Genomic DNA, 14,263 nt, shown 5'->3' on the forward strand with positions numbered 1-14,263 from the left:
CTGAGAGCGGGTCCCCACCCAGGTTGAAGGGGCAGCACCATGCAACGTGGCCACTGCTTCCCATGCAGGATGTCAGGCTGGTGCAGCCACAGTTGGAATTTTTTTCCAATATTTTTGTTTATTTATTTGAGACGGAGTCTTGTTCTGTCACCCAGGCTGGAGTGCAGTGGCATGATCTCGGCTCACTGCAACCTCCGCCTCCCGGGTTCAAGCGATTCCCTACCTCAGCCTCCCAAGTAGCTGGGATTACAGGTGCATGCCACCACACCTGGCTCATTTTTTTGTATTTTTAGTAGAGACGGGGTTTAACCATCTTGGCCAGGCTGGTCTCGAACTCCTGACCTCGTGATCCACCCGCCTCAGCCTCCCAAAGTGCTGGGATTACAAGCATGAGCCACTGCTCCCGGCCTCAAATATTTTTAAAAGATTGATAACTGATTCAAGTATTTTTTTAAAAAATCACACAATGCTGGCCAATATTAGGTGGGTCAAACCAAATATATTTAAGGGCTGAACCCAGCTTCTAGTTTTCAAACTTTGTGTTAAAAACTTGGAAGTACTAGATGGTTTCCTTAAAAATAATAAAATAAAAGGTAAGGCTTGTGACACGCTGAAGGAGAACACCTTTTTAATCCAGAGAAGATATAAACCTGACCCTCCAAATACAACCCTCCAAATACAATCACTTTAGAGATAGAGCTTCAACCAAAGCAAAGCAAAACAAAACAAAACAAAAGCCCTGGCAGTTATGCATATTACAATTCCAATTATTCATTTTAGAATGTCTTCTTTTACAGAAATTCCCAGAGAAAGAACTTCGACTCAATTCGGACTTCACTGATATGGAACCAGAGGTTACTATGTGCATTGGCTTTTGGTTTCCATGAGGTAATTCACAAAGGAAAACTGAGTGTTAGGCAGAGATCAGAGGGCTCCTGGTCCATACACCCCACTATTCACTCCTCAGAGGACCATGGAGACTGCAGAGAGGTGGAGCTGTGGGTCCAAACCCAGCATTTGCTGCCAATTTCTGCAAAGGATATACTCTAGAGACTCACGCGTCCTCCTACCTTGTACAGCTGGACGTCGTAGCATTTAAAGAGCTGGCACACGTCAGGCAATGACATCAGCATGACTGTGTCTTGCTGCAGAGACTTCCAGAAGGAAGTAAGCAAGTCCTCCACCTGGGGTAAGTAACAGAGCATATCGCCAAAACTCGTTTTCCACCTCGCAAGACTAACCCCCCGCCACAGATACTTCCTTAGCCCCAGATGACAATGGGATGAATTTTGTTCCAGTGCGTGTAAAGCTTTGCCTCTCAGCTTTTCCAAGCTGTATTTTGATAGAATTCTTTCCAACAACCCATCTGAGAGCACCTGCCAGTTGGATGGGATAATGTAGAACATTATTAATATTTTCTTGAGGCAGTTTCTAGAAGGGAAGCTGTTTCTGACCACAAGGGGGCTCCAGTTGATTATACTAGGATGAGGACTGGGCCACAGGGCACAGCCCAGAGAGAATAAATGTTCATTGACTGACTGACTGACTGCCTCAATCATTTTTCAGCTCAGAGAAAGGTGTGATAGTACTTAATCTAAGAGACCCCCTCCTTGCCATCAAGTTAGAAGTCACCTAACGACTGTGGAAGGAAAAGGAGACTGGCGTGGTTCTACACAGGAGCCTTCTCTAAAGACTTATGTGGACTACTTCGTGGAGGATCAAAATGGCGGCTCCTCTTTTCTGTTTTTTCCCACGTTGACTTTTCAGTTTCCGTTCTTTAACCAGGTGACCGATCTGCTTCGCCGCCAATAAAGACTCTTGCCTGTTTGGGATTTCCACAGGCTCAGATACTGTGAGGCATCACAACCTTGTCGTATCTCCCCTGGTCCTGGTGCTAGGACCTGCCAGTGACACCAGACAAGGCGCTGGCCCCATGCCTAGGTCATCATGGAAGTTAGGGTCAACTCCCGAATTACATGGCCACAGGCGCTGATTTAAAATCCCGTTATCAGGGCATTCATTCTAGAGAGGACTTCTCCAAAGAGACTCTGAAAAATACAACACAGGGTGTAGCAATCCCTTTTCTCTCAGGCTGGGAACCTCGGAGCAAGGAGCTTTGGGGAAGGGGGGTCTGGGTGGAGCCACCACCACAGACCCGTCTCTGCTCACCCCTCACCACCCGCGTCCAAGTCACCAAACCCTGTTGCGCTTGCCTCTGAAATATTTCTCTAACCTGCCCTGTTTATCTCTGATATCACTGTCACTGCCCCAGAACCCACCCTTGTCGCTTCTCACCTCAACTGTGACAAAACCTCCTCGCTGCCTCTCTGTTCCACGACGGCCAAGCCCTATTGTCACTGCTCCCCCACTGTCTTCTCAACAAGTCAGAGTTCTTCTGGGGCATCCGAGGCCCCTTCTGGCATCAGCCTACTTTCCCACCTCCCCTCTGGCTTCTCTTCTTTAGTAATAATAAAATCTAGGCTGGGCGCGGTGGTTCACGGCTGTAATCCCAGCACTTTGGGAGGCCGAGGTGGGCAGATCACCTGAGGTCAGGAGTTTGAGAACAGCCTGGCCAGCATGGTAAAAACCCCGTCTCTACTAAAAATACAAAAAATTAGCCGGGCATGGTGGTGGGCGCCTGTGATCCCAGCTACTCGGTAGGCTGAGGCAGGAGAATCGCTTGAACTCAGGAGGTGGAGGTACAGTGAGCCGAGATCGCACCACTGAACTCCAGCCTCGGTGACAGAGCAAGACTGCGTCTCACACACACACACAAAAAAGAAAACAAAAGAAAAGAAAAAAAGAAATAATAAAATATAGTCATAGTGACCTTTTTGTCACATCATGCCCGTGAACATCATGCTGCCTTTACCTGCACCATGGGTCCTACCTGGAATCCCTCTCCTACCCCATTTTCTGTCTATTGCACCTCTGCCTTTCCTACTAGAGTCAGCAGCAACGTGGCCTGCTTTGGAAGCACTCCCTGGCCTTCTCTGTTACCCTTCTCTGGGCACCCAGAATAGTCTAATCATGCAGCTATTCTAGAACTTTCCACATTGCATCATATTTATTGGGTAATATTGCTCCTTTCATTACCAACTACTAACTTCTCAAGCCTTATGGAGAATACTTTCCTAGTCCTGGTAACGGTGTCGGTCACAGGGTAGGAATTAAATATGTATTTGATGAATAAGTGAAGAAGGAAAGGAATAATGTCAGACATCCAGTGTGGATGGATATTTGTAACATTGCATCAATAGGACAGGGGCCATCCTGAAGACATCTTGGTCTCTCCCTCACTACAATGCTTTACGCCGAGTAGGTAGTAAATGCGCTCGTGCTGAATGAGCGTTATCACCCAAAGTTGAAGTGCTTAGAATATACTAAAGCATCAGGAAAAAAATCTCATTTGAATGTGCACTTGTTTCCTTGGATTTTCATCTCACACTGCAGAAGATGAAACTCAGAATAGCTGAAAGATTTATTCATGTTTTCCACAGCCAATTCTAGGATTAAATCCAATCGTGACAATACCCATGCCAGATCACTCAGCTGCGAAGTCCTGCTCCATCTTCAGTTAGCGCGTATCAATCAAATGGCTCTTCGGCACCATTGAAAATTCCAGGGTGAATTTTATTACCAACACTTTATTCAAAATGAGCAGAATTAGGATCTAAAAAATAGCTGAATTTGTATTTAGAGCCTAAAGTTATCTGTATTAGCACCTTGGAGAATTTCCAACTGATTACACTGAATATCGATCTCACCTTCCAGAACTCAATGACTACAACATAGGTACATAGCATGTAAGCACTTCAGTGCAGTGGGTTACCATTGGACATCTGTTGACGGGGTCTCTTCAAATAAAAATGATTAATAAGGAGTCATAAATGCTTGTATTTTATAGATAAAACCCTACCCTCTCAAGTTCTCAGTTCCTCACATTTCGTAAAATGTCTCGACAATAGTTGCAGTATTCGTCAGCAAGGAAGGCCATCTAGGAAGAATATGGAAAATTATTTCAGCATGTGGGCCTTTTCAATAATGAACTGATCTTCACAGACTTTTCTGAAGCTCTCAGAGGCCGCTCTTGTTGCAATTCTCAAATGACAATAGCTGCGCTCTTCACTTGGGCCACAGCATTTTTTTTGTTTCTATGAACTAATGCAGACCTTGTAGGCTGATAGTTCATGTAGCTTTCATTTCAATGTCATAACTCATATTTGCAGATTTATTCTACCACTACAAAGGCCACCAAACTTTGACACCTTTTTTTCTAAACTTCAATTTTCCCCCTCCATAATCCCCAGCCCTAATTTCTAGAAAATCCATATATCTGTTTCTTTCTTTGTCTTGGGGAAGAGGCAGTCCCAGCGGGAGCCTTGCCATAGGATGTGATAGGGAACCCTGAACTTGCTGAGCACCATCAAGCCAGGGAAGGTTGCTGGTCCTCACGGGTCCAGCAAAGGCAAACATTATTCCATGTGACACAATCATGACCACAGGCACAAAAGGAAGCTATTTACTGCCCTAAGCATCATACAGCGTGAAAGGCTAATCTCCCCATGAGTGCAAACCTACCATATTACAGGAGTATTTCTTTGCCTGTTCTTGCTCCAGAAATGGACATCTCCTGAATTCAGACAAAGGGGATCCAACTGGGTCTGTCTTCATCGGTGAATGATCTTCACACTAAAAATCATTTGTGCAATGGATTATGTCTTTAAAATACAATACTTTTTTTGGCATATAAATCTTCTTATGATCACACTACTATAAGTTAATATTGTGTATAACCTTTTAGCCACACCTCTGCACACATTACTGATTCCAGCAGCTTTCCTCTCATATTGTATTCCAAATGCTGCTAATTTTTGTCTGTAATTCTATGAACGATGGCCATCAGGGAAGGGATAGGATTTAATATATTACCAAATGTATCTCTCTTGGGATCATCTATTTACAAATCCTCTATAGGAATGTACAATAAGACTATTATCTATGAATTATTTAATATCACAAATACACTTCTACAACCCTTGTCCATGTAATTGTTCCTCCTTGAAATAAAATCATCCCTGTTTGGGTCATTCTGCCTATATCATAACAACCGTTGGTTGTATCAGAAATCTCAGGGCCATTGCCAACAAGGAAAATGAGGAGCATGGACTTTCCTTTAGAAGAACCAATTACAGGCCCGGGCATGGTGGCTCATGCCTATAATCCCAGCACTTTGGGAGGGCGAGGCGGGTGGATCACTTGAAGTCAGTAGTTCAAGACCAGCCTAGCCAACATGGTGAAACCCTGTCTCTACTAAAAATACAAAAATTAGCCGGGTGTGGTGGCAGACACCTGTAATCCCAGCTATTTGGGAGGCTAAAGTGGGAGAATTGCTTGAGCCCGGGAAATGGAGGTTGCAGTGAGCCAAGATCACGCCACTGCACTCTAGCCTTGGCGACAAAGAGCAAAACTCCATCTCAAAAAAAAAAAAAAAAAGAAGCAATTACAGGATGGGAAGGAGGAAGAAAGGTGGCATGGCAGAAAGCAAGTGCGACATTCCTCCCTGCCTCCCTGTGTCACTCATGCTGCTGTCCCCTCTGGGCATGGGGAGGCATGAGGGCTCCTCCTGGTCTGAATAAAGGGTATCAATTTTATTTGAAATGATTTCTTCAGCATTGTCATAGACTGCTTTTGAATAATTTCCCTTACAATAAAGTAGGATGAAAGAATTCCTCCAAGTTGAAAATTGAGCAGCCAACCCTGCTACGCCAGACTGTGACTTTTCATTTTCTCTCAAACCTCATGACCCGCTCTCTGACCCTATAGTTCCAAGGTCAGCATTCCATCCTTAGCCTGCCCAGTCTTTAAGCACCCTAAGCCTCACTAAGCTACTCACTTATAGAATTGCTTATGTGGGTTTTGGTATGTTCCTGTCTATAAGACATCTGAGGGCAGGGCAGCTTCTCTAACCACCTGTGCCCACCCTTTAGCAGAGGAGTGAGCTCAGACACCATCCCACACAGTGCTGCACACACCGGAAACAGGCACCACTGTGTTTTCCTCCTCTCCGATGCCCCAGTATCAACCAGTACTGCATTGAGGATCACAGAAGTTTAGAGAGCATGTTTAACTGTCCTCTCAGTGCCCTAAAATCTATACTTCATAACTCTGTTGTGATTCTGAACCTCTTTGAGAATCTGATGAAAGCAACTGACTCTCTCCCTGGAGAAAATGCATACTACGCACACAATATTATGAAGATGCCACGTTAAAACTTCCCCCGTTAATACTGTTGGAATGATGTAGGGGTATAGATGTCTAAATAAATACATAAAGCAGGAACACAGAGGGGACAGCTCAAAGGGGTCTCTCTATTGGGTGCTGTCTAAACCTCATTCACACCACACTTTACAATATTGGCTTTATTCAGAGTCATCAGAAGATGGGTCTTCTTGACATTTATGCAGCCAACAGACACATGAAAAAATGCTCATCATCACTGGTCATCAAAGAAATGCAAATGACAACCACAATGAGATATCATCTCACACCAGTTAGAATGGTGATCATTAAAAAGTCAGGAAACAACAGGTGCTGGAGAGGATGTGGAGAAATAGGAATGCTTTTACACTGTTGGTGGAGTGTAAACTAGTTCAACCATTGTGGAAGACAATGTGGCGATTCCTCAAGGATCTAGAACTAGAAATACCATTTGACCCAGTGATCCCATTACTGGGTATATACCCAAAGGACTATAAATCATGCTGCTATAAAGACACATGCACACGTATGTTTATTGCGGCACTATTCACAATAGCAAAGACTTGGAACCAACCTAAATGTCCATCAATGACAGACTGGGTAAAGAAAATGTGGCACATATACACCACGGAATACTATGCAGCCATAAAAAGGATGAGTTAATGTCCTTTATAGTGACATGGATGAAGCTGGGAACCATCATTCTGAGCAAACTATCGCAAGGACAGAAAACCAAACACTGCATGTTCTCACTCATAGGTGAGAATTGAACAATGAGAACACTTGGACACAGGGCGGGGAACATCACACACCAGGGCCCGTCAGGGGGTCGGGGCCTGGGGGAGGGATAGCATTAGGAGAAATACCTAATGTAAATGACGAGTTGATGGGTGCAGCAAACCAACATGGCACATGTATACCTATGTAACAAACCTGCACGTTGTGCACATGTACCCTATAACTTAAAGTATAATTTAAAAAATAATAATTTGAAACAGAAAAAAAAAAGAAGATGGGTTTTCTTGTATGTGGGTATGGGTGATGCTCACGTTGATCATACTAAAGGATGGAGCTATTCCATGAAGCTCATTGGCCTGATCATAGGCGCTCTGTTAGAGAACTGAGGAATCCTCAATTTCAGCTCTGGGCTAATGTCTCATAATGAAAGACCCCAACTACATCCATATTTTCCAGAGCACTCACACCCTGGTTATGTCAATGTTCTCTGGGTGTTACTGCTGATATTCCCAAAGCAGCATTCTCAAACACATCAGAATCCCTTGGGGCCCTTGAGATCCATGTTCCTAGGCCTCTAGTGAATCTGATGAGACAAGAACTCTAGATGTATAACCAGCTTCCCTACTGAGCCTTCTGCATGCCCATGTTGAGAACTGCAGCTTTAGGCAGACAGTTCTTTATCGAATGCTACAGAAATGTCTACATTTCACCATGGCACATACAACACAGTTTCGCCTGTTCAGAAGAAAACATCTGACAATGTACTGTTAAGATATTCAAGAAACAATTACAAGGAGAATATAAAAGTGTTTTATTACACAACATAATAAAGAGCAAATTCATGATTTCCTGAAGTCAATCCCTGAGGTCTCTTCCTCCATAGACATTACTTATAGGCATAAACCTTTCATTAAAAACTGTGAAAAGAATTGTTCTTTCACAAACAATATTTTTAAAATCATAAATGGAAATATTTCCTTTACAACATAAACAATCAGAAACCTAAAGTAAAAGTAGCGTACAGAGCCACTAACGTGTGGACCCTGCAGGAGATTCGCTACAGCAGAAGGCATTCAGGAAGCATGCTGAGGAATTCCAGTGTGGAAACAATAATTCAGCAAAGCAAAGAAGAGGATGGAGAGAAGTTGATCAATGGGTACAAACAGACAGAAGAAATGAGACCTAGGCTTTGATCAATCTAGTAGAGTGACTATAGTTCACAAAAATCTAGTTGATATTTTCAAATACCCAGATAAGAATCATTTGGCTGCCTCCAGAAAAAGAAAAGATACCTGTTTAAGGCAATAAGTATCCCAATTATACTGATTTGATCTTTACACAGTATAGAAATGTGTCAAAATATCACGCATATCCAGAAAATATATACATCTATTATATATCAGTCTTTAAAAATCCACCAACTTTTAAATAATAACTGTGTTGAGTGTGGTGGCTCATGCTTGTAATCCCAGAACTTTTGGAGGCTGAGGCAGGACGATTGCCTCGGGCCAGGAGTTCATGACCAGCATGGGCAACATAGTAAGAGCCTGTCTCTACAAAAAATTAAAAAAAAACAAAAACACAAAAAACATTTCTGGGCATGGTGACATACGCCTGTAGTCCTAAATACTCAGGAGGCTGAGGTGAGAAGTTGGCTTGAGCCTAGAAGTTGGAGACTCCAGTGAGCTGTGATCGTGCCACTGCTCTCCAGCCTGGGCAAAAGAGCAAGACCTCGTCTCTAAAAAATAAAATAAATAAATAAATACTGCATAATGACAAATATGTATAAACAAAAGCTATATCTAAAAAATGACCATTGAGAAATTCTACGTGGATTCTTTAGGTATATTAAATGCAGTTTGAGATTTTGACAGACCCAAGAAATGTCACTGGAGTTACATGCTACCATTCATCTACTCATTCTTTAGTGAGCATGCACTAGGTGTCAGCCCCTGGGAGTCTGATGTGTGCCACCTTTCCACCATCACCTGCTCCATCAGGCACCATCTGCCTCCCCTGGGTTACTCCATCAATTCTCCTGAATGACTTTGATCCTTCCTGAATCCTTGAAGACACTGTTCCCAGAATTATCACCCCCCAAAGCAAATGTATCCTGTCACTCTCCTTCTGAAGATGCCTTGATGGTGCCCCACGGTCTCCTGGGTCAAATCCAAGTTCTCTGCCTAGCATCGACAAGCTCTGTGCCCTCTGGTCCTCTCCACCCACCTCGCCCAGTGTGCTGCTCCCCAGCATATGCACGCTGGGTTCCACACACGTTTGTCATCACCTCCCGGCTCCAATGCAGGCTACACCCTCAAAATGAACACCCTCCTAAGAGAGAAGCCAGTGACCCCTTCCAGGACTAGCTCAAGGATAATATGACAGGCAGAATCAGGCCCCTCCACCCCAAAAATGTCCACGTCCTAATCCCTGGAACCTATGAATATGTTCCCTTGCATGGCAAAGGGACCTTGCAGATGTGATTAAGATTAAAGACCTTGAGATGGGAGGTTTTCCTGCCTTATCCAAGTGGCCTCATGTCATCACAAAGGTGCTTTAGAAAAGGCCACCTTTCCCAGCTGCAGGGAGCCAGAGAGACTGCAGCGTGAGAAGGATCCGGCCTGCCTTTGCTGGCTTTGAAGATGGGGTGGAGGCCGTGAGCCAAGGAATGGGAGGGACCTCTAGAAGCTGGAAAAGGGAAGGAATGGATTCTTCCCTAGAATGTCCGGGAGGAACACGGCTCTGCGAACATGTTGATCTTAGTCTGGTAAGAATGGTGTTGAAATTATGACTTCCAGGGCGTGTGATAACAGATTTGTGTTGTTTTAAGTCACTGACTTTGTGCTAATTTGTCACAACAACAGTGGGAACCGCACTCTTCAGTGCAGCCCTCTCTAATCACTCTTGCCTCCCACAGCCCCTCTCCCGGACCCCCAATTTGGAGTTCCCAAACCACCCATGGCCTGCACTGCCCGCTCGACATGGTACCCATTGTTCCACGTCTATCTTAGCTTCCCGACTACAAAACTGTGTCCTACTTAAGTAGAGGGACTTTGTTTGTTTTTAGCGGTTCTTTCACAACCCATTCAGCCCTCAAGAAGGCTGGTCACTAAACACGTTTATAAAAGGTTATCTGTTCAATGACACTTGTCAACAAGACAGTATCTGTTACGGACAGAATGTTGTTATCCCCCCCGCCCCCCGCAGGGTCATGTGTTAAAACCCTAATCCCGGCTGAGCGTGGTGGCTCACTCCTGTAATCCCAGCATTTTGGGAGGCCAAGGGGGGCAGATCTCTTGGGGTCAGGAGTTCGAGACCAGCCTGGCCAACTTGATGAAACCCTGTCTCTACGAAAAATACAAAAATTAGCCGGCGTGGTTGCAGGCACCTGTAATCCCAACTACTTGGGAGGCTGAGGCAGGAGAATCGCTTGAACCAGCCTGGGCAACAAAACGAGATTCCATCTCAAAACAACAACAACAAAAAACCTCTAATCCCATGTGATGGTATTTGGAGGTGGGGCCTCTGGGAGTAATTAGGTCACGAAAGTGGAGCTCTCATGAATGAGATTAGTGCTTGCTCCCTCTCTTTCCACCACGTGAGACACGATGAGGAGTCGTCTGCAACCTGAAAGAGGGCCCTCCGGTAACCTGGCCACGCTGGCACCTGGGACTTCCAGCCTCTGGAACTGTGAGAAATAAATGTTTGTTGTTGAAGCCATCCTGTCAATGGTAATTTGCAGCTCGCACTAAGACAGTATCCAAGTACTATCATATCGTTTTGGCCCACTAAAATAAAATCAACTCATGATGTCATACATTAGTTATTCATAGTTCTGGTGTCCTAATTCAAAGAGCTGTAACTGTAATAGGGAGACACTTCAGACACATTTATTGCCAACAGCCTATATATCCTTTTTAATTTTAGCTGAAGAAACACAGTTAAGCAGGGAATGTGCAGCCAAACAGTACGTTCCTTAAGGACAGAGACTATGTCTGTCTTGGCACGGCATGTGGAAAGTGGTGGCACTGAACATTCATGGTCAGATGGGTGAATGGTTAGGGGCTACCTAGAGTCAGAAGAGTACGCACAGAAAAACAGCTGGATCGAATTAAGCAATCACTGGTATTGCTAGGTCTGGGTCTGTTATAGTAAATCTGTTTGATTAACACTCACTGTTGCTTCTTGTTGGATAATGCTGTTATAATTAGTAGATTTTTCAAAGGCAATGGCATCTCCACTGTGAAGGAACAGAAAACAGAGAAGTAATTTTAGCAAGACACCTGTCTCTGAGCAGAAGCACGAAGTTTCTTTTGCAGCAAGGTTATTTGTTTAGGGGTATAACTTTTATTGAAAAACCCTCTGCCATGTTTCTATCCACGAATGGTAATTATCACAAGCTTGGGCTTTAAAAAATTCATTTCTGTAACTGGGACAACCACGCATTTATTTTTAAAGGTTTCTTTCCTTCAGAAGCAAGAATATGATATCGTCATGGGTAGAATTCGCTCCTGTGGGAAAAGAAAAATCATCATGAACGTGAATTCTTATTACTTTTTTATTTTGGTGCATTTTAAATGATTGATACAGAAATGATAATATCCTCTAAATTGATGGATGTAGAAGAACACCTTTACAGAGCAAAGAAACTGGTAATTAATAATAGAGATGTAAATTTCATTTCACCATGCCTCTTGGATTCATATAAGATAATGGAGAAATTTATACATAATGGAGAACAGACTGGGTCCTATCTATGCAGTACGGTGCATTTTTTCTTTAATCATGGGCATTCGAGAAGCTGTGAGCCCAGTTCACTTGCACCAGGGAATGTCCATTCTCAAGATGCCAGAGGTGGTGGTGTCTCCTCCCACGTCCCCGTCACTCAGCTCCAGAGTTATGGCTGAGCCAAGGGCAGACATGACTTTGATGGGTCCGTCCACTCCAAGTCAGCACACATCCTCATGCCTGATGGTTTCAGCTCTACCTGAACATAAAAAAGAGAAGAGGAAGCCAGCAGCCTCTTGCTGTGCTTCTGGAAGCCGGGCAATTGTCATCCAGGTAAGGAGGACCTGGGAGGAGGTGGGAGTCAGAGGGGAGGTAGAGGAAAATGGCTTTCCTTCCAAATAGGATGGTTCTACGTCCTCCCCAGCCTCTTGAAAGCCCCAGGGGCTCTCTTCTGAAGGTTTGGGTCAGTCCATTCTCCAAACCAAGTCATAGAAAACTGGGCAGAATGCTTGATACCCATCTGATAAATGTTTCCACATAATGTTATATTTCAAAACAGGGCACATAGATTCAGGGTCTGGACACGAACCCACTAGAAAGGCACTCTTCATCTTTTAATAAGAGTTGTTATCAAAATAGAAATTTTACCTCAGACTTTCCAGTGGCTGCAGGACACAGCATCTGTTCAACCTGAAAGGGTATATGGATAAGCCCTGCACATGCACATAGGGTGATGGGCAATGCTAGAGGAGCCAAAGGCAAATAATTTGGAGTGTCTTAGGAATTCCATTTGTCATGTGTTATGGACTGAGTTGCCTTCTCCTCAAATTCCTACATTGAAGCCCTAGCCCTCTATGTGACAGTATTTGTAAATAAGATCCTTAAGGAGATAATTAAGGTTAAATGAGATCATAAGAATAGGGCCTTAATCCAATCCAGGACTGGTGTCCTTATAAGAAGACCAGAGAACTTGCTCTCTTTCTCTCTCTCTCCATGTGAACAAAGAAAAGAACATGTGAAGACACAGCGAGAAGGCGGCTGACTGCAAGCCAGGAAGACAGCCCTCACCAGAAACCAAATTTTGGGGTACCTTGATCTTGGACTTCCAGCTTCCAGAACTGTGAGAAAATAAATTTCTGTTGCTTAAGCCACCCAGTCGGTGGTATTTTGTTATGACAGCCCATGAGAATGCATCATATCTCAATGATATCTTGGGTAGGTGTGACAATTATGCAGTTTCTTCAGGTAAAATTTATAAACAGCCCATTGCCACAGATTTTGGGACATTACAGCAACAAAAACAACAAATAATAAATCAAACTTAGAATAAAGACTAGAATGAAATAAGACAGAAGAAAATATCAGAAGTGAAATTTCACTAAATAAAGGGCTCACAGAAAAGAAATTTAATCAGCAAAATATGGTCATCACTCTTTAGAGATGTCTAAAAATTAGTTGTGAGACTTTCTTCAACTAAATTGGAGGAAGGGCAATTTCTCCCCAATTCCACATTGTGTCAGCATGCTACTCCTAATATGTTTTCTTTGGAAAATGAATGCAAGACCACAATATGAATACACTGAGCTCCATCCATCCATTCATTCATCCATCCATCCATCCAACCAACCATCCATCCATCCAACCATCATCAATCCATCTCTCATTCATTCATCAGTGCCTACTGAATGTCAGGCATTGTGCCAGGCCTTGGTGGATATAGCTGTGATCCAGGGAGACAAGGTCTGTTTTCACAGAGGTTATAGCCTATTGGGGAGGAAAAATGTCACACAAATCATCACTAATCACAAAGATGTTGGGTGAGGGTTATGACAGCTGAAGTGTCGGGTGCTAGGAAAACGTACATCAGGGGGCCATCCTATTCTCTTGTTAGTCCAACAGTGCACATCTCTGTCAATTGGCAGCTTGATGAGCTCAGGAGAGCTGCATTGGTGATCAGTTTACCCTGATCTGGTTGGTGTTCATCACATCACCATATAAGGATAGCTTATTAAACAATTTTGAATGGTGACATTGATCCTCATGGGGCATTCCTATAGGTACTCAGAAACAGATATTTCAAAGCTAGAATGTCTGGTTTCAGACTTAAAGGAACGACAAGGAAAACTCTCAACTTTATCACTCATCCCTCTCCCTCCACCCTGACTCTGGGAGCTTTGGACTAATGAGTAATGCTCATTACGACTGAGTAATGTTCTCAATTATTTTGAGTTCCTAAATGGTACTCCCAAGTTTCTGCCTCTGTTCAATGCAGAATATGGGCTTAATTCAGCAGCAATCGAAAAGAAGGTGGCATCACCCTCCTCATCTTTATAGGGAAGCCTGAAGGGACGTGCCTGCCATCACCCTCCTCATCTTTATAGGGAAGCCTGAAGGGACGTGCCTGCCATGTAGGGGCCTGTGTATAGCAGGAATCCTCACTGGGAGAGCTATGTTACCTTTTAGCATTTAATTGGGAGACTTTATGTATTAACCTAATGGGGAGAAAGAGAAAATATTTCAACCTTATGGAGAGATG

At 43.7% G+C, this 14,263-nt stretch overlaps 1 protein-coding gene across 16 annotated transcripts in view, besides 1 other annotated feature; it reads right to left on the reverse strand.

Annotated features, from left to right (window-relative positions):
• The window catches only part of RFX8 (regulatory factor X8), a 77,754-nt gene that overhangs the window by 20,422 nt on the left and 43,069 nt on the right, over positions 1-14,263 (reverse strand). For 6 of the 16 annotated variants that reach the window (XM_011511771.3, XM_047445739.1, XM_017004851.2 and 3 more), the window contains 4 exons: positions 11,176-11,239; positions 4,582-4,692; positions 3,944-3,997; positions 1,071-1,184 (listed from right to left, as the gene is read on the reverse strand). In XM_011511771.3, coding sequence (XP_011510073.1) covers positions 1,071-1,184; positions 3,944-3,997; positions 4,582-4,692; positions 11,176-11,239 — 343 coding nt within the window. Of the gene's footprint in view, positions 1-1,070; positions 1,185-1,632; positions 2,531-3,919; positions 3,998-4,581; positions 4,693-11,175; positions 11,240-14,263 lie in introns of those variants that run through there. The other 10 variants (NM_001145664.2, XM_017004852.2, XM_011511773.2 and 7 more) reach the window with 7 other exon arrangements.
• Positions 1,385-1,454: a silencer, noted in NCBI's record as "silent region_11826". NCBI's record gives its function as "represses an Ori minimal core promoter by ATAC-STARR-seq in GM12878 lymphoblastoid cells {active_cell/tissue: GM12878}" and the evidence as "EXISTENCE:reporter gene assay evidence [ECO:0000049][PMID:35858748]".

Source organism: Homo sapiens, chromosome 2 (assembly GCF_000001405.40).
Source record: "Homo sapiens chromosome 2, GRCh38.p14 Primary Assembly".
NCBI classification, from domain to species: Eukaryota; Metazoa; Chordata; class Mammalia; order Primates; family Hominidae; genus Homo; species Homo sapiens.